We start from the raw sequence: 21083 nt of genomic DNA, 5'->3' as shown, positions 1-21083 counted from the left end.
TCTGTTTAATTGATTGCAAAATATCCTTTTGGGACCCTTAAATATAGTAATATATAATGGTAATAATATATATAACATATAATATAGTAAATATAATGGTGACAACTATATTCTTCACAAAAATTTTTACTTATTTGCTATAATGTCGTGGGAAACTTGAGGAAAAAGGTTGGATCAAAGAAAATATAGCCACAATTTAGTTACTATTAATTACTCCCTATCTCCTAGAAAATCAGCATTGTGATGAAGCCCAAGATACTGTGAATGGTGACATATATAATTAGAATTATTTCCTCATATTTTTGATGGCTGTGAGATATGTTATTGAGATTTTTTCACTCCTTAATACATGCATACTTTTAAACTTTTTAGTTGTTTTTATTGTTTGCTTTAGTAGCTTCTGACACATTTTGGATTTTTCATCTAAAATGTTAATCTCTGAAATTTTAAGACTATGCTTTGTAGTTATTGGAACATCTTGTAAGGGTTAATGTGGATAGAGTAAGTTGGTTCTCCTCCTTGTAAAGATATGTAGACATTTTGTCTATGCTAGATAAACCTTTTTGAAATTCACTTCTCATTTTCTCTTTGAGTTTGAAATAGGGGTCACATAACAGGTATCCATGTTTTATGCATAGAAATAATTTATGGTAACTAAATATGCCTCTTTTTTTTGAGACGGAGTCTCACTCTGTTGCCAGCGTGGCATGCAGTGGTGTGATCTTGGCTCACTGCAACCTCCGCCTCCCAGATTCAAGCGATTCTCCTGCCTCAGGCCCCCGAGTAGCTGGGACTACAGGCATTCACCACCACACCCAGCTAATTTTTGTATTTTTAGTAGAGACGGAGTTTCACCATGTTGGCCAGGATGGTCTTGATCTCTTGACCTTGTGATCCACTCACCTAAGCCTCCCATAGTGTTGGGATTACCGGCTTGAGCCATCACACTCAGCCTAAATATGCCTCTTAATTTAGCCAGTCTAAAGAATACTATTAGGCTAGTTTCTGCAGATATAGTGAATAAAATCAATATTACATTTGAAGCAAGCTTTTACATCAAAATTGTGATGAGTAAAACATTTTAGACCAAGAAAAAAACCTTGTATTTTTTCTGAGCATTATCATTTTGTGAAAGTATGAATGATTAAGGCTGGGACTTTACCAAATTACACAGTTAACATGTATTTGTGAAAACACTGATAAAGAAAATAAACCAGAATATAATCTAGTAGAATATAAGTTTTAGATGGTCGAAAATTTGTCCTATTTATTTCTCTTTTTCCTGTGACTAATAGCCATACAATAAATGTTTATTGAATATAAACAAAAGATAATTAAATGAATAAACTAAGGAATTGTTTTAAACTTATGTTTGTGTGTAGTTTTACTTAAAAACTTTTTGTCTAATTAGAATAAAAACTTTAACACTAAAATAAGTATTAAATGACTAGTATATGTACCATAAATCTGTTTCATTTCTTTCTTGGTGAAATGGTTAGCATATGTCTGCCAACCTGTTGCTGCTTAGCTTTACTGACAATTATATACATTATAAAATACATATTTTGTTTTGCACTGTTTTTATATATTTTTGTATTCAATTGGGTATGCTTATTGTTAGAAAATCTTAATTTTATTTTGTAGTATCAATTATAAAATATGTAATTCTTCAAAAATTATTTTTGTGCCAAGGTGTTTTTCTCCATACAAGGTGAGCAGATTAGGTAGCATTCATACAGCTATAAACTTTAGCGTTTTATTTGTTATAGGTAAAGTTGTGTTTTGCAACAAGAACATCCATATCATATCACAAAATTGTAAGTTAAATGGTTTGAGTACTTTGACCAATGCTTAGTTTTATGTGAGGATTAAGAGGTAACAGAGAGAGTATGAAACACCATTCTCATTGAAGCAGATGTCTTTTCTCTCTCACTGGAAATTTATATTAAAATTTAAGCAAATCAGTAGGTTCATGATTTGCCTTGAGCATCTGTATATTTTTGGTTGTAACAGAAATACTTCATTTTAATGCTCACTACTAGATGTCTATTCAGAATGCATATTTCTTAACAAACTTTAAAAGAAATATGTAGATTAAAATGAATTCCCAGTGCTATGATATGTTTGTAATACTTCTTCAGGCAGATAGGTTTCAAAGAAACATACAAGGTACATGCTCAAGTTGTTACTGACCTATACTATGCCTGCCTCCTAATAGGTTGTATTTTGGCTCCTATGTTTTTGACAAATAGCTGAGCTCTGTAAAGCTCTGTTTGTGGTGCTGAAACCTCTCATGATGTATGAGCATGTCTGGCTGATAAATTCTAACGTCAGCCTCTGTGTGATAGTGATTCATCGGGTTGTAAAATTTGTGTTTGAGAAACACGTTGAATTAGCAAGTTTCATATTTTGGTTGTGTTAAAATCAACTCAATTTACCCTCTTGTTTTAAGAAATTCTTAACAATTGCCTTCCACATTGTCAAAAACAGCTAGGATTTAACTGGAAACTGTCCATGCTATCACAAAATAAATGTCTAATATTAACAAATAAATTGATATGACTACAGTGCTGGAAATGTTTATAGGCCAGTGAGATGTTGATATTATGCAGAAAGCTATTGTAAGAAAAGTTAAAAGTTGCTTATGAGCAGACACAGTAGCAATTAACATGAAAGCTTTGTAACTTTGAGAGATAAACAATTTGCCTATAAAAACTGTGGTATTTTATTGTCTCAGAATGTTTGCTTTGTACAAAAATACTTCTATTTTTGCAGGACTGTGGGGGTTTGTTTGTAAAAATGACTGAAATCCTCAAAAATCTTAATTCTCTTTTTTTTTAAGTGAAATCCGTATATTCCCTATATAAGATTTTTAAATGACTACTAATGTACTTGGCACTTCAATTCAATGATTTGTAATCTTTTAAGCTGTGGGTTTCCAGTGCCTTAAATATATTTTTAGAGGACTGGACTAAAAAATTAAATTCTTAATTGTTTCTTTTACTTTAAAATAGTTTCAGAAGCTTTTCCTTTAGTTAACATCATTCCTCTTAAATTTGTGTCAAACTCTGAAAGTATCTGAATTGTGTCATTTTTATATTGGAGTGAGCTAAATAAAAGAAATTTCAGAAAGTCGAACCTGTTAAACTTCTACTACTAATGCTATATGTTTTATGGTGTAATTTTAAAATCTTAGTGTTGGACTGAAACATGTTGTTTCCTTGCCATGTTTCAATATAGTAAATTATTAAGTTATTTGCTTGTTACTTCAGTGAAGCTCCTTAACTGTTTTGAATCAGAGAGAGATTTGAAAATTATACCTAGAGCATAAGTCATAATGAAATTTGGCAATAGTTTCTGCAAAGCAAGCAGCCTAGACCTGGCGTGGTGGCTCATGCCTGTAATCCCAATACTTTGGGGCACCGAGGTGGGCAGATCATATGAGGCCAGGAGTTCGAGAGCAGCCTGGCCAATATGGCAAAACTTTTTCTCTACTAAAAATACAAAAATTAGCCGGAGATGTAGTCACCTGCCTGTAATCCCAGCTACTCTGGAGGTTGAGGCAGGAGAATTGCTTGAACCTGGGAAGCGGAGTCTGCAGTGAGCCTAGGTTTTGCCACTGCACTCCTGCCTGAGCAACAGAGGGAGACTCCATCTCAAAAAAAAAAAAAAAAAAAAAAAGCAAGCGGCCTAAAACTAAGCTACTGCTAATTATTAAAATAAGACTTTATGTTGCCCAGATACTGAATTTATATTATCTCAACCTAATAATTTAATCTACTCCAAAAGCTACTTGTTAAAAAAATCCTTAAGTGAATACATAATTTCCTAGAGTTTCTGTCAATAGTTAAAGGGTTAAATACAAATTATGATTGCTATTTAATATTGATTAAATGCTTTCTGAAATCCATATTTGAGGCTTTATAAAAATGTAGGTAGTCCCATCACCCAAGAAAAGTGTCTTACTCTTAGCATTCCAAATTTCATTATAGAAAAACACCTTTTAAAAACTTTATCATTTAAATGATATCTGATCAGATGATATTTCCCAGAAATTATTCTTTATTTAGAAACAAAACAAGACAGAAGCAATTGATTTTAATCCAAAATGTATTTTTCCTTATAAAAGAGGTCCACATACTCACTGTGTCTACTCTACAGAATTTGTCCATTTTATTACACCACGTGTCAATTCAAGTTTATCTGGTCACTGCAAAAACTCGTGGCTAATATGTGTAATACAACACAGGAGGAGGTATTGCTCAGTTCAACTACTCTTATTTACTTAAAAAAAATACAGAAATGTTTTTGTCCACTTGAACTGTAGTCCAGACATAAAAGTTACATGAAAGTTTTAGAAAATGGAGTTATTTTATTTGGTTGCCACAGTACCCCTTGAAGCCAGTTACTTAAAATGCTGAAGTTGTACATATTTCCATTGGTCAGGAGCAGCATTGGTGAAGCTTAAACTTCTCTCTCGAAAGTAATCTTTTTTTACTTTTTTGTTTGTTTGTTTGTTTTGTTTTGTTTTTAGCACAACTGCAGTCTTTCGCTTTTTTTTTTTTTGTTCATTTTTGGAGTAGGTTTCCTTGGTGGTTTTTAGGACATATTTGTTGGTAAACCTATAACAGTTGCTTTTACTTTCAGTGATGTACTTTTTTCTTTTCCTGCTTCCCAGAGATTTATCAGAGGAGGATAAAGCTCACCTAATGCAAAGGTTGGTTTCTGTAAGTAATTCCTCACATAGCTGTGTCCACCATCACAGTTCATTTCTGGAGAGAGGCAGCTGATAAGACATATCACACCAATAATCCCCAGAAGGCCTCCAAGACAGGCCATAAGTGTTGTGGTATTATTCTTTTCATACTCTTTTTGATCAGGGTGCAAACCTTTGGTGGTGACATTTACACATTTTTTTCTGTTTTTCTGATAGATGGTGGGAATATCAATACAAATTTTATACTCAGTTGATGGATTCAGATGAGTAAGATTATATACCTTGACATCAGATGGTATTCGAGCACTTTGCGCAGCATGAGAATTTTCAGTCTTGACAAAGGCTGTCCATTTAACACTAGATTTGAGAATTTTAGAACTTGCTTTCCAGGACACCAAAACTGAATTGGCCTGAATATCTCTTATTTTAATATTCAAAGAGCCATTGTTATCTTGTGGAAAAGATCCATCCACTTTGATCATAACAGACTTCAAGTCAGCGCCAACTAGGTTAGTTGCTATACAAGTATATAAACCCCCTTCTTTGGGAGTTACGCCATTTATATCTAGTGTTCCCTCAGAATGGACATAGAACTTGTCTGTCAGGGTATTAGGCAAGAGTTTTTGACCAGAAGGTGTTATCCAGTAGATTTCAGGCTGTGGTTCTGCAGTAGCTCTACAGTGAAAGGAAACATAGCTCCCAGCTTCTACATTTAGATTAGAAGGAAAGCTCTCAGGAGCTATAAGAGGGAGACAAATTTCCATCATGTCCCTGAAATGCACTTGCCGAACATTCTGACCTTGGAATTCAGGTGGGTCCACGCAAAACAGTGAATCTGGCTCCATGAATCGAATGTTGGTTTTGTTCATGTTCATCCAACGGATGACACAGTCACACCTGATGGGGTTACTGTGTATGCTGATTTCCTTGAGGTTTGGCAGAGACTCAATGGTACCATGGTACAGGGCACTGAGAGCATTGCTGTTCAGCATGAGTGATTCCAGCTTGGGGAGTCTGAAAAATGCATTGGGGTGAATGTAAGACAATCTAGGGTTGTTAGTAGCTTCTATTTTTCTTAAATCTGGCAGGTTATCCACAGCAAGACTATCGATGGAAATCAGCTCAGGCATATTATTTATCCCCAACTCTTTTAAGTGTAGCATATTGCTAAAATCACCCCTTCGTATTCTATTAATAGGATTTTTATTTAGATCCAAAAATTTGAGATTTACAACTTTTTGAAGAGCAACATGGGGTACTTTAATAAGCCTGTTATCGTAAAAAGAGATGCTTTCTAAGTTTTCCAGTCCAACCAAGGCGTTATCTGGTATTTCTGTGAGGTTTATACCAGCTATAACCAGGCTGCGAAGATTGATAAGAGGCTTAAAGTTCATGTCTTTGATTCTGATAATTGGATTTTCCCCAATCATCAGAATCTCTAGATTTGGAAGAGCATCAAACCACTTACTGTTGATCATCTGCAATCTATTTGAATTGAGATGAAGTCGAAGAAGATTATGTAGGCCAATAAAGGCTCCAGGTGAAATTGTAGAAAGCAAGTTGTGATTAATATAGAGTTCTTGTAAGTTGCTCAGTTCGGACAGACATTTTTCAGGCAGTTCAGTAAGTTTGTTTTCCTCTAGGTACACAGAAAGGAGCTGAGGCATCTTTTTTACATTAATATTGGTGACTGAAGATAAATTGTTTTGAGATAAATCCAGGCCAGTAAGGTTTACTGGAAAGTCTGTGGAGTATTCAATTTTTGCAATATTGTTAGTCTGTAGGAGAAGAATCTGTGTGTTAGCTGGCAATCTGGCTGGGAAAGTTAAAAGACCTAAATCATTACAATCCACTGTAGATGCTTCCATATAAATGGATCTGGGTGTAAACCAAGGCCTGATTTCACACGTACATAACCGTGGACAATCCACTTTTTTATCTACAGCTTGTACTAGTGTAGTGATAGCTAGGCCAAGTAGCACATGAATTCGGAGTGGCATGTCCTTCATCTTAGCTTTCTTCTTCAGAAATGTAATGGGCCCTTAAGGATTCCACAGTCAGTGCTAGTAAGTTCAATAGGAGCTGATTGATAAGGAAGATGCTTGCATTTGTCAAATGATGAATGCCATAGAACCACAAAGTTTTTCTTCACTGAAATAAGTGCCAGTGCCACAATTGCATTGTCCAAAAATGTCATGCATATTGGAGAAGAGAAGGTTACTATTTCCTTAATGATATAATATTGATGTACTTTTTGAAGGTGGAGTATGTATAGATGGTCATAGGAGATTGAGTAATTCATTTATTTAGAAGTAAAATATTTAAATCCCATGCTTCTTCAGTATTTGCAGGAATAGCAGCATGATGCTAAATGTAATAAAATGAAATATGAAAGAAAAAAGAGAACAATAATTAGTACAAATGAAAAATACCATAATTGATATTCATTACCTAATTATAATTATTTCATGTATAAATTATATTCTTAGAGTTTAAGTACTTCAGTATGTTTGGTGACTTTATCTTTTTCATGACTGTCCTTGATAATTCTTTTTTTTTATTATACTTTAAGTTTTAGGGTACATGTGCACAACGTGCAGGTTTGTTACATATGTATACATGTGCCATGTTGGTGTGCTGCACCCATTAACTCGTCATTTAACATTAGGTATATCTCCTAATGCTATCCCTCCCCCCACCCCACAACAGGCCCCGGTGTGTGATGTTCCCCTTCCTGTGTCCATGTGTTCTCATTGTTCAGTTCCCAACTATGAGTGAGAACATGTGGTGTTTGGTTTTTTTGTCCTTGCGATAGTTTGCTGAGAATGATGATTTCCAGCTTCATCCATGTCCCTACAAAGGACATGAACTCATCATTTTTTATGGCTGCATAGTATTCCATGGTGTATATTTGCCACATTTTCTTAATCCAGTTTATCATTGTTGGACATTTGGGTTGGTTCCAAGTCTTTGCTATTGTGAATACTGCTGCAATAAACATACGTGTGCATGTGTCTTTATATCAGCATGTTTTAGTCCTTTGGGTATATACCCAGTAATGGGTTGGCTGGGTCAAATGGTATTTCTAGTTCTAGATCCCCGAGGAATCGCCACACTGTCTTCTACAATGGTTGAACTAGTTTACAGCCCCACCAACAGTGTAAAAGTGTTCCTATTTCTCCACATCCTCTCTAGCAGCTGTTGTTTCCTGACTTTTTAATGATTGCCATTCTAACTGGTGTGAGATGGTATCTCATTGTGGTTTTGATTTGCATTTCTCTGATGGCCAGTGATGATGATCATTTTTTCATGTGTCTTTTGGCTGCATAAATGTCTTCTTTTGAGAATTGTCTGTTCATATCCATGTCTAAAACACCAAAAGCAATGGCAACAAAAGCCAAAATTGACAAATGGGATCTAATTAAACTAAAGAGCTTCTGCACAGCAAAAGAAACTACCATCAGAGCGAACAGGCAACCTACAGAATGGGAGAAAATTTTTGCAATCTACTCATCTGACAGACAGCTAATATCCAGAATCTACAATGAACTCAAACAAATTTACAAGAAAAAAACAAACAACCCCATCAAAAAGTGGGCGAAGGATATGTCCTTGATAATTCTTGGCCTAGGCATTGGGCAGGCTGAGAAATTTAATCGTTAAAAGGTTAAACATTTATTATTTTAATGAATGTGTTTCCAGAAGTTTTCTGTTATTTCAAATCTTTGCTTGTTTATACCTTGTAATTTTATTTGTTATATTTTCATTAGCTTTGAAATTTAGTTATAGGGAAAAAAGGAAAACAACTTTTAAATCTTTCAACTGTTCATGGCTTTTTTTTTTTGCCTGTTAGAGAGGCAACATAAAAGGCCAATAAATGAATAATACTGTTCACTTACAACCAAATGAGTTAGATTGCGATTCAACAGGTTCCCAGGAGACAGGATTTAGAGACAAAAATTATAAAATGTTAAGTAAGCTAGATGTAGTGGTATTAGCTGTTTCCCATTTTCATTCATACTTCTCTCCATAGTCTCCTTTGCATAAAGTGACTTGAGTTTTGCAGTATTCAGAGAAGATTAAGTTTAACTTGCTGTAGATGTACCTGTGTGTTATCATTCGTAACTAAAGTTCACAAGATTAACATTTGGCTGTTTTATTTTTCCCTGAGAATAACTTACCTTCCATTACTAACAATGAAAAAACAATTTTATTACATCACTGATATGGTTTGGCTGTGTCCCCGCCCAAATCTCATCTTGAATTGTAGCTCCGATAATTCCCATGTGTTGTGGGAGGGACCTGGTGGGAGATAATTAAATCATGGGGGCAGTTTCCCCCATGCTCATGGTAGTGAAATAAGTCTCAGGAGATCTGATGTTTTTATAGGGGAAATGTCTTTTGCTTGAGTCTCATTCTCTCTTGCCTGCCTAAATGTAAGATGTGCCTTTTGCCATCTGCCATGATTGTGAGGCCTTTCCAGCCATGTGGAGCTGTGAGTCCATTAAATCTCTTTTTCTTTGTAAATTACTCAGTCTTGGATATGTCTCTATTAGCAGCATGAGAACGGATTAATGCAATCAGTAACACAAAGACCTAGATATTTTTCTTTTAAATCTATACCAGTGTCTTTGAAATATAATCATTTCCAACACCAAGTTGCAAATTTGATATATGGAGATCCTTCTATGTTTACCTCACCGTCTGCCATTTTCCTGCAGGCAACCTTCTCCCTATTGGTAGAGCTATGGTTGCATCACTCTGCCTGGAATACTTCTTTCTTTGTTTTAAATTATGTTTTACTGTCTTTTCAAACCTCAGTTCAAGAATCTCCCCTCTGGGAAGTCTTTCATACAAGACTTTCATATAACCCCTCCCTCCACATGTACTTAGCTGCCCCTTCACAGTGGTCCCATGGCTCCAGCACTTGTTTCTGTCAGGCATTTCCTTGATCCTTTCCTTCACCAGGCACTAACCTCCTTGAGAGCGTGAGGCCTGCCTGGCTTTGCATCCTATCTTCTGGGCATTATCATTATAATGTAGTATGTGCTCAAGAAATGTTTTGAATGAACTGATAAATGAATTGTATTAGTAGAATCCTGTATGCATCCTTTTACATGTTACTTAAGTAATTCTATCTGCTTAATTTCTAATTTCAGTAAATCTGTTTTAATGTGTATAAGTATTTACTAACATCAAATTTGTGTTACATATATTACTAAAATCCAGAGATTAAAATTCAGGCTAATACAAAGGAATGTTAGACTTTAAGAGAAAAGTTAATCTATTATATCTGTGCTTTATTCTTCAATTTATCCAGTCAACATTTATTGAGCACTTTCTACATGCCAATTACTGGGTTAATAGCTAGAGGGAAAACAGATGACTTAGATATGGTTGATTTCTTTAGTAAAATTTCAGTCTGGAGGGGAAACAGAAGTAAACAGATGGTTACAATTCCGTATGCATGCTCATTTGGGAGCATATACCCCTCCGAATAAAATGAAAATAGAAATCTATTGCCCCTGTATGTCCAGAATGAAGGAAAAACCTAGGTACAAAGTCCAATTGCATTTCTGTATGTTTCCATAAATCACTTAGCTGAGAATGGAGAAACCATTACTTCTGTCAATTAATTCGTTAGGTCTGCTTTCTCCAGCAGAGCAGAGAGGTACCTATATCCTTCTTTAAGTTAACTAGAGGTTTGGAAATATTAAAGATGAGGCATTCTTTCTGGGGGAGTCTTAATATAATGCCACTTTTTGAAATTATCCTGGTGGGTGTCTTAAAATTTATATTTGTGTTTAATTAGAAAATGTTTTCTTATTTCATCATTTACATAGCCATATGCTAGAAACAACCACATTTTGAATTAGATTTCTTCTGAAAGCTTTTGCAAATGAGAGTGTTTATAGTGGTGAGCATATTCAAATGTTGTTTCTCCTGGTCTGTAGGAAGCAATAGTATGGGAAACACAATAGAGAATATAGAAATTTATCGTTTCTTTAGCATAATATTGACTTTTTCTTAAGTCTGTGGAAATGATTATGATATTTCATTAATATGCTATTTAGTATGGGCTATTTGCAGGATAATAAGTAAGTAATAATAGTATCTTCTTAGTGCTTTATAGTTTTCAAAGCCTTTTCTTATTCATTATTAATTTAATATTAATGAACTTGTGAGATAGGTTGGTGAGGTACATTAATCTCCACTTTTTAATGTAAGGTTATTGAGACCCATCTGCCTGATACCACACAACAAATAAATGGTGGGGTGGGATTAAAACCTAGTTTAGGCCGTTAAAATCAAACAATTGTAAGAATTCTCATATCTTATATATCCAATTCCTGTGGACACTTATAATTTGAGATTTCTTTATGTGAAAATACAGATTGTTTCTTGGTATAATTATATGTAGAAGCTTTTATGGATAAAGCTACTTTTCCTTAGTAAAGAGATCTTTATTCTTTAGCTTCTTTATCTGTTTTTCATCATTTATGAAATATTGATCCAACACCTACTTTTTGGCAGGCATTATCATAGACACTGGAAAGTCAGCAATAAATAAGATAAAATATCTGCTCACCAAGTTTTCAGTTATCAAAGGAGTAAATAGCTGAGGACAATGATGCACAGTAGATTTGATTTACAATAAAAATGTGTGCAATGCTCTGTGGATGCACAAAGGAGAGAATGCTTAATTCTGTTCCTCCAAAAGGAGCAACATGAATGTTCTGTGGTCTTTTGTGATACTTATGAAAAATCAGCTGGGGTATAGTGAGGACATGTGAGTAAGAAGATTTAAAATCCACTGTCTTTTAGATGAGTTTTTGCAATGCTAAAGCTTAAGAACAAAGTGTGCCTTCTTCTTTGCACTTTATTATGTGTATTATAAAGACTACAGAGTGTGAGGAAAAGAAACATTTTGATACTTAAGTTGAAAAATTGGTGAAGAAAAAAATTGCCATGGGTACATTAAAACCCAGTTTTTCCTTTTCTTCTATAGCAAATTGCTGGCTAAGTTCATTTGTATAAAGAACTTAAATTCTATTCTCCCACTATCTAACTTCATATTCCCTTGTTGTAAGACTTGATCTTTCTTTAGTTCTAATTGAAGGTTCCATATCCCAGAGGTATTGTTGAATTATACTAAATGCATCCTTGTAAAAGACTGTTCTATTTTCCTTGGGAAATATTTCTTTTCCAGTTTTTCAAAACAAATTATTTGAATTTATATGACAACTCTCAGGAAATGGATAATGGTAATTATTTAGAATAGCTTAATGAATGCTATCCTTAAAAACTGATGTCAATGAGAAATTGATACACCGAAAGAAAATTTGTTTTGCATTAAGAAACATGGGCCAGGTTTACTGGATGATTTTGTAACTGGGGACAGGATACCTCACTTTCTTGTACCTCAGATTATTGATCTCTATAATTTAGAAATTTGGTTGCATGAGTTGTAAGATTCTTTCACATCCCAAACTTACATGATACTATTCTGTGAACATCAAAGATTTTTTCCAAAGGTGTCTAACAATTGAATGTGTGTAAACTCACTTATCTGATTTTAACCTTTGTGTTTTTTAATTGATTACAAGTTTATATTCAATACTCTAGTCCCATGCCATTAACAAATTTAGGATCAGTGAATTTTAGTCATTATGGGGCTTTTAAAGACTATCAAATTAGTTACCTGCCATTATTTCTATTTTATCTTTTTATCTACACAGTAGTAAACAAACTAGAGAGTTACTTTAATCATTAAATTAAGGCAGACTAACCAGTAGGAAGTAAATTGCCTCGATTAGAGCACTTCATCTAAATTCAGATGTGAATTCAAATTCCTTCATTTTGCCTCTAAAGCTCAGTCTTAACCACTAAGTTCTACTTTCTCTCAAATGTTTATTTTTAAAACAGCACCACACACCTTGGTATCTTCTCAGAAAGGTGTTTCCTCCAACTGTATAGGTGCACTGCCTTTTTTGTTATTATTGTTGGGTGTTTCTCTTCCTTTGATAATAAAGTTTCACTCAGATGAAATTATAAGGCAGTTGAGTATTGTGGAAGGAATAAAATAAAAACTGTTTTCTAGGCCTAGTTTTGCTATGTGAGAGTAATCACATCGCTCTCTGAATCTTAGTTTCTCACAAAATATGCACTAAATTTTTACTCTTGTTTTCAAGTTGATTGTTAATGTCCTGTGAAATTGTAGAGATTTTGTGTGGGATTGCCATTATAAAGAAATTTGTTTATTAGAGAAAAATTATTTTTGTTATTGTTCAAAATTTATATAGTAAAATGTATGTCATGTATACCCATATATTTAATGGATGCTGTCTTTTAGAGTGGTTTTAGAGTGGATTCTGATATTTTCAGATTCTCAAATCTGATATTTTGAGATTTTCAAACTGGCAAAAATCCTCTTATTATCATTATAGAAATAACTATAGATTTTTTTAAAAGGAGGGGCAATTTTATTTTATGTCCTTGTCATGTTTAAGAACTTTTATTTTTACCCAGCAAGCATTAATGCAGATCATAAACAAATCATGTGCTGTTTCCATTCCTCTGGATATAGGGCTCAGATGAGTCCTTTAGATGACAATATAGGCCTTGTAATAAAGTTCTCTCAGAGAAACCAGTAGTAACTTAAATAGCACAATTCTCTCTCCTGAGTCTCAAGATATGCTTTGGGCAGATTTGAGAGAATCTTGGATGTTTTATCTTTTTTCTTCTCTTGTTTTTAGAATTGAGGCTTGTGCTACATGGGGATAGTTTTCTTTAAACAATAATTCCGGCCGGATGTGGTGGCTCATGCCTGTAATCCCAGCCCTTTGGGAGGCTGAGTTGGGTGGATCACCTAAGGCCAGGAGTTTGAGACCAGCCTGGTCAACATAGTGAAACCCAGTCTCTAGTAAAAATACAAAAATTAGCCAGGTGTGCTAGAGTTGGTGGTGCACATCTCTAGTCCCAGCTACTCGGGAGGCTGAGGCACGAGAATCGCTGGAACCTGGGAGGCGGTGGCTGCAGTGAGCCCAGATGGTGCCAGCTGCACTCTAGCCTGAGCGACAGAGTGTGAGTCTGTCTAAGAAATATATATAAATATATAAAAATAAATAATAAAAATAAAAAATAATTGCAAATGTCTCACCCTAATACGTCCAATTTGTGGAATCTAGTTATAGTACAGCTATAATTTAGAAAGGGTAGTTTACAGTACAGAAATCTCTCTTTATAATTTTCTTTTACAGAGGGGGGGATGAAATCTTAATCACAGGCACATTTCATATTGGGGTAGTCATTTCTGTATACTCATAAATTACCAGCTTGTCATGATACTGTCATTTTTTATGAAAATTCTGATTTGTAGTTATATTTAATTATTGATTTTGCTCAACTGAGCACTTCATTAATAGCATTATTTGTGAAGTTGACTTTTGTACATGATTAGTAAAACAAATGATAATTTTAAGTCATAACTTGTCTCTTGATGCTTATATTTTTTCCTATAAGCATCACACCATATACTGGGGAATTCTAATTTACAATATGTCATAACAGTACATTATTCAATATTGTTTGAGAGCCAATGGAGTTTGATTGCCTGATTTGCCTTTTTAACCTCTCTTTTATTTACCTTGTTATTTAGCATTTATATGGTCCCAAATGTAGGTCTCTCTGGGAAAAACACTCATTTATTCATTATCCTTAATATTCACTCATCTTAGATTGAAGTATAATCATCTTGTTTTCCATAGTGATGGAAAATTTGCTTCAGGTTATAATTAAACTAGAGATCTCTATTTGGGTGATGCCTGTCTGTAAAATTACCAGCACTTTAACAGTAGGCTATTGTGTAAGTATGCAGACCCGGGAGTTAGGAGGAGACCTCGTGACCTTTAGTGACTTCATTTCTAAAATAAAAATCACCTTCAAATTCTATTATTATATAATTTTTGTAGTAACCCTTAAATATTCTCAAAATGGTTTCAATGTATTTCTTTTTTTTTCTTTCTTTCTTTTTTTTTTTTTTTGAGATGGAGTCTCGCCTGTTGCCCAGGCTAGAGGGCAGTGGTGCGATCTCGGCTCACTCACTGCACCCTCCACCTCCTGGGTTCAAACAATTCTCCTGCCTCAGCCTCCCAAGTGGCTGGGATTACAGGCACCTGCCACCACACCCAGCGAATGTTTGTATTTTTAGTACAGATGGGGTTTCACCATGTTGGCCAGGCTGGTCTCAAACTCCTGACCTAATGATCTGCCCTCCTTGAACTCACAAAGTGCTGGGATTACAGGTGTGGGTCACTGTGCCCAGCCAATATATTTCTTTGTGCAAACTTAATACAATGTACTTGGATGGATACCGATAGGATTTACTCAGAGATTTTATGATATTTTTAGTTTTTCATGCTTATTCACGTTTTATGTGTCTGTCAAACAGTGGCATAGAGATAGACAAGGTGCTAATTTCATTTACATCAGAAGTAGTCTATAAAAAGATCCTTAGGAGCTGTACAAATTCATGAAAAATTTGAAGAATTTTAAACATTTGTATGTCAGGAGTAATTTATATACACTTGTAAGAGAAATCATTGTTTTCCTGGCAAAAATGTGTGTGTGTGTGTGTGTGTGTGTGTGTAGATTTATGTGTATGTGTATGTTGAGAGACTTCAGTTCTGTTCAGAAAATTTTGAATGTGACTGACTAAATTTATGCATTAAAATTTCCCATTTTGTCCACTCTTTATTTCTATCAATAGATATTTAGAGGGATTTAATTAGGCCTTAATTTGTATTTTACACATTTCACATAAATTGAGAGGAAAAGTCTGCCCAAATATGCTTTCCTTATTCTCTCGTAAGTTTTGGTCTCTAAAAGCTCATTCTTATGATTTAGTTCCAGTTTATTTGAGAAGTTAGTGTGGTAGTATGACTGGTAAATGATGTCATCCTTTTATCTTCAAAGGAATTTCCAACTAGATTTGGAAATTCCCCTGCTTGAATGACAGGAGACAGACTTACATTGTGCCTTGCAGTACAATGGTTTGGGAAATGTGTGTCTCATGTAGACCCTCTTTCAATTATCCTGCATTTCAGATGAAAACATTTGGGGTAATTATCCAGATAATTTAAACAATTTTTAAGTCATTTTTTTATTGGAAGATAGCCAAATATCCTGTCTTTGAAGTCTCCATTCTTTATGTCACATGAAGACTGTCCATCTCCCTGGTATAGTTAAAAGAAAAAAATAAATGAAGTGATTGCAGCTTGAGTTGATTTTATGAACAGGCACAAGTATGCTGCCTTATGCTTTCTGATCTTGCAAGCACTACTCTCTAGGGCCTTATACATGGGAGGACATGATAGACATGTATACAAAAAAAAAAGACTATTCTATATTGATTGCCATAAGTAAATGCTTTTATCAATCTCAGGAGGGATGGTTTTGAAGCATAGATATGCTGTAAAAGGATGGCAGCAAAAAGGTTTTCAACTCATTTGTATTCCTTGATTAACTCAGTTTGACAGAATAGAAAGTCACTGGTTTGTAAAGAAGGTAAGGAAGCCTGTGGACAAGAGTCCAATGACCTAGTATAGATAGAGAATGAAGAACATTTTAGTTACAATATTATTACAGAAATCTTAAAATTATATTTTGGAGGGGAACATTACTCTGAAGGAACTCAGAGTAGAAGGTTTCTGGGTAGTTCACTTTCTGTTCTGCATATAATAAAATATGGTTCTCATTGCTATTAAATAAAACAACACTAATATCAGTGTTTTACGTTTTTACTAAGAATTGAGAAGATAAAACATACGTTGAAAGAAAGGAAATAAAATTAGCTCCTTCAGTTTGAAAGAATTTTTTCAAATGCAATAAACAAGAGACTAAATTATAGCACCACATTTTCGGGTGTGCTGGGGTTAGCTGATGCCTGCCATGAGTTCAGAGTTGGATGGTGCTTTTCTGTTACTATACCTAAGGAAGACGATAATAGCGATGTGGGCTGTATTTTTAGTTCCCTATAATAAGCATGGGATTGTTTGTCTATTTTCTTTTCAAAAGTGTGTCAGATTTCCCTCATGCTCTGTGGTTTGTTTCCTGCTTAAATTCCTGACAATCTGCTTTAAACAACATTGCTATATTTGTGTCCAGAGGATACAAAAAAGTTTTAAAAATAGAACAACATACATTCCACTGTAAGCTTTGAAAAAACTTCCTGAATTATGGCTTTGAGTTTCAACCAAGACATGGAGGCCATATTTATGGCTGTGTGCATGTTTGTGCATCTTTTTGTGAGTGGAAATTCATTACTGTACAGGACATGAGCTCTTTCCCTAACACTCGTGTTAAATGGTTAATATGAGATGACTTGGTGGCACTCTGAAGTACGAAGTGACAGACAGAGTTAAAGTTCTTGATGTATGCTAGGTCAGTGAAGCTTTGTCATTTAGTTCCTGTGTGGAAATTAAAGGCACTATATGCAGGTTAAAGTTTTTCATTTTCAGGGCCAGGAGTGGTGGCTCATGCCTGTAATCCCAGCACTTTGGGAGGCGAAGTCAGGCGGATATACCTGAGGTCAGGAGTTCAAGACCAGCCAACATGGCGAAACCCAGTCTCTGCTAAAAATACTCCGTCTCTACTAAAAATACAAAAATTAGCCGGGTGTGGTGGCATGCGCCTGTAAACCCAGCTACTCGGGAGGCTGAGACAGGAGAATCACCGGAACCCAGGAGGCAGAGGTTGCAGTGAGCCGAGATCGCACCACTGCACTCCAGCCTGGGAGACAGAGCAAGACTCCATCTCAAAAAAAAAAAAAAAAAAAAAAACAAACTATATATATATATATAAATAAAATATATAAATAAAGTTTTGCATTTCCTTTTTCCTGTCACCTAACTTAACTTAAAGGCATGTATTTTTTCTTTTTCAGAGACAAGGTCTCCTTTTGTCGCCCAGGATGGAGTTCAGTCACTTAACTTTATAGAAGCCTCACAATAACTCTTTACTTGAAGCTAATTATGTAGGACTACTTTATGTAGATGACTTTGCAAAATTTGGTTGCCTACAACCCCCTTGAATTCATTTAAAATTACTATTGACGCAGGGGGGGACATTAGTTGATTCACATTATTTCTGTTCGTAAGAGCTTTATGGTGAATTCTACTTTAATGTGTTTATAATATTTGACTACTATACCATTTAAGGACTAGTCTATATCAGGTTATGAACATTTGGGAAATATGAGATCCCCCAAAAGAGTGGCATAGTAAATGAAATACATTTTGCCTTATGTGTTGAATAGAGAGGGCTAAAATTAAGGGCGGGGGAAGTAAAAATACTAACGGGCCATTTTTTTTTGGGGGGGGATGGAAAGCAGTGTAATTTGTGATGCCTACCAAATTTTAATTTTTGTTAATGGGCAATGTAGGCCCTTGCTAACATTAACTTTTTTTTTTTTTTTTTTTTTTTACAACTGCTACCCATGAAGAGCATGGGCGATATGCCCACATAAGCGTCTTTTTGCAAGGTTGTACATGACTAGAGCACCAAAGGGAGTTCTAAATCTTAATGGAGAAAAAGAGTTCTTTCAAAACAGGGTTATAAATTTGCATTCATTTCACTCTTAGAAGCCTGGTATTCATCTCATATGTGGATTAGGTGAAAGCTAAGTGACAAATCACCTGTTTGGGAAAATTTCTTAGTAGATAAACTCTTTCCAGATAATTTAGGATTATGTTTCAGACTATCAGTTTAGGCTCAGAAAAGCAAATGGTTTTATATTATGTTATAGCAGCTTCACAGGTTAGGATTTAATACATTTTTATGGATAAAATGAATAGTGTTAGATTATTGGATCTGAGTTAGGAGAAGAAATTTTCCCTTCACAGTCACATGATTTAAGATCTGGAATCCCTTAAATTTGATCTGGGACATTCACCTAACTTTACTGTTCCAATATGCCAAGACAAAATTATTTTGTGAAGGAAATTTATAATTAAATAACTGGTATTAAATTAATATCAGTAATGTCTACTGCAGAAATAGTTCACATTGCTCAGTCAAGAATTACTCAACATTAATTTCATATATGTAGAAACATTCTTTGAACTTTAAGTTATTTGTATTCTATACTTATATGTTTGATATTTATACTTATGTTTTTATATATATTCTTCAAGACAGTTATGTAGTAAAGTTTATGCTAAACCATTTTGGGCTTGGAGCTCAACATCCAAACTGAAAAACGAATAAAACTTTTTCATGATTTCTGTTAATTCTAATTCATGACACTGGTTAGTAAGATATAATCTATATTTGTGATCATTCCTGGTATTGTTTATGTTTTCTTGGAAGATAAGATATTATTTCAGTGAATAAAAGCTATTCTAAATATATGAGAAGCATAATTAAACTTTGTCATAATAATGAATATGGACTTGAAAAATATTAGTTTTGAGGTTTTCTTTAATGACTGATTCCTATCAATTGTGTGGAGAAACAAAGATTTGAAAAAGAATATCATTTTCCCTAATGATGTCTTCATGTCTAATATCCATGAACAGATAGGATCTTTGATGCTTTACTTATCTTTGCATATTTTAGTATAGTTCAGATCCTAAAGACTTTATTTTTTGAGACAGAGTCTCACTGTGTTGCCTAGGCTGGAGTGCAGTGGCGTGATCTCAGCTTACTGCAACCTCCACCTCCTGGGTTCAAGCGATTCTCCTGCCTCAGCCTCCTGAGTAGCTTGGACTACAGGTGTTCATCCATCATGCCTGGCTAACTTTTGTAATTTTAATAGACACAGTGTTTCACCATATTGATCAGGCCGGTCTTGAACTCCTGACCTTGTGATCCGCCCACCTTGGCCTCCCAAAGTGCTGGAATTACAGGCATGAGCCACCGCGCCCAGCCCCTGAAGACTTTTTAAGGGCCCTTTCCATTAACTTCAGTTTTCCATCATATAACAATAGCAACAAACAATGAAAACAGCGATAGTAGTCACAGTCATATTGTGCTACAATGTACAAATTCAGTTCAATTTTCATATATGACCTTATCTGATTCCCCTAATAATCCTGTCAGCATGTGCAGTTATACCCACTTTACAGGTGATAACTCAGAGAGATTTCATGAGGTGGTGAAAGTTGAAGGGGCATTATCAGTGATGGCTCCTGAACTCTATTCCAGGTCCTTGACTCCATTTTCAGGTCTCTTCCTGTGAGCTCTGTGTAATAAAGCTTTGTGTCGCAGATATATATGTACTTGATTGCCCCCTTACTAGTTGTTAATGAAACACCTTCATGTCTAGACCTATGTCTTACTCACTGAGTAAGCCTATACTTGTGTGCTGACTTGTCTTCTTTGCACAGTGAAATTAAATGATACTTTCTTTTAAAACTTAATTAAGATGCTTTTGTAGTTCGTAAGCATGATGATTGGGTTTTCTTGCTCTTGTATGAGATGTGCCTCCGTCATACCTTGGAAACCTGACTTGAAAAAAAAAACTTAATTATGGAAGGAAAGTTAATGGTTTATCATGTAGCTGGCAATGAACATGTTAAATTGTACTGAAAATGTTTTACACATTCTAGATGTTTGTTCTTTAATTTGGTCTTTAATTCTTCTTGATAATACCTTATTTACGGACCACCTTACTTAAAATATCCCCTAAAGTCATTCTTATTCTCACCATGTTGTTTTCTTTATAGATCATTTAAGACTGCTAGAAATTATTTGCTTTTTGTTTATTGCTTACTTCCCATCATCTCCACTAGAATGTTAGCTTTATTAAAGTTGTTTCCGTTTTATTCAGAGCTATGGATCTCCAATGCCTAGCTAGAATATTGCCTGCTATTGTTGTTCAATAAATATCTACTGAATGAATGAATGAATATCAGTTGCTTTTAATTATAAATTTCCATCTTATTATACATTTAAAAAAATTTGCTGTACGAGGTACTCATTTGTGACCTTTGTTTTGTTGGTGAATGCTGAATTGACTCATGTGGTTTGTATGCATGAACTATTGAGTGATGATGTAAGCTTGGCAAACAGAAATAAATATGTTTTTTTTAAATTCAGGAGATTACAAAAGTGTAACAATACCCACTTTAGAAGGGTATAATTAAATCTGTGATTGTTTAAAAAGAATCATAAATTTCTTCTAAGCCAATGTCTACTCTCATTATATCTCGAATAAATCTGTTGTGAGGAAACTAATGGAGATATGTATGTTTTGTTCGTATATCTTTTTTACTTGAGATATAGTTTTCAATTGATTTTTATATATTATATCTCTAGTAATAGCACAGTGTAGTGGGGGTATAATATATACAGATTAGTTTCTTAA

At 34.6% G+C, this 21083-nt stretch overlaps 2 protein-coding genes and 1 pseudogene across 27 annotated transcripts in view; 2 read left to right on the top strand and 1 right to left on the bottom strand.

Annotated features, from left to right (window-relative positions):
- Positions 1 to 21083, top strand: part of IMMP2L (inner mitochondrial membrane peptidase subunit 2) — an 899849-nt gene that overhangs the window by 432994 nt on the left and 445772 nt on the right. The window contains exon 4 of one of the 24 annotated variants that reach the window (XM_024446960.2): positions 17661 to 20949. The exons of the other annotated variants lie outside the window; for them this stretch is intronic. Coding sequence (XP_024302728.1) covers positions 17661 to 17706 — 46 coding nt within the window. The 3' untranslated portion in view covers positions 17707 to 20949. Of the gene's footprint in view, positions 1 to 17660; positions 20950 to 21083 lie in introns of those variants that run through there. 24 annotated transcript variants of the gene reach the window in all.
- Positions 4045 to 21083, bottom strand: part of LRRN3 (leucine rich repeat neuronal 3) — a 34328-nt gene continuing 17289 nt past the window's right edge. For all 3 annotated transcript variants that reach the window (NM_001099660.2, NM_001099658.2, NM_018334.5), the window contains one exon: positions 4045 to 7084. In NM_001099660.2, the coding sequence (NP_001093130.1) occupies positions 4600 to 6726 (2127 nt within the window). In that variant the 5' untranslated portion in view covers positions 6727 to 7084 and the 3' untranslated portion in view covers positions 4045 to 4599. The remainder of the gene's footprint in view (positions 7085 to 21083) is intronic.
- Positions 20142 to 20231, top strand: LOC124901853 (uncharacterized; annotated as a pseudogene).

Source organism: Homo sapiens, chromosome 7 (assembly GCF_000001405.40).
Source record: "Homo sapiens chromosome 7, GRCh38.p14 Primary Assembly".
NCBI lineage: Eukaryota > Metazoa > Chordata > Mammalia > Primates > Hominidae > Homo > Homo sapiens.
Note: the sequence above shows the minus strand (reverse complement) of the source record. Positions and strands in the feature narration are given on the sequence as shown.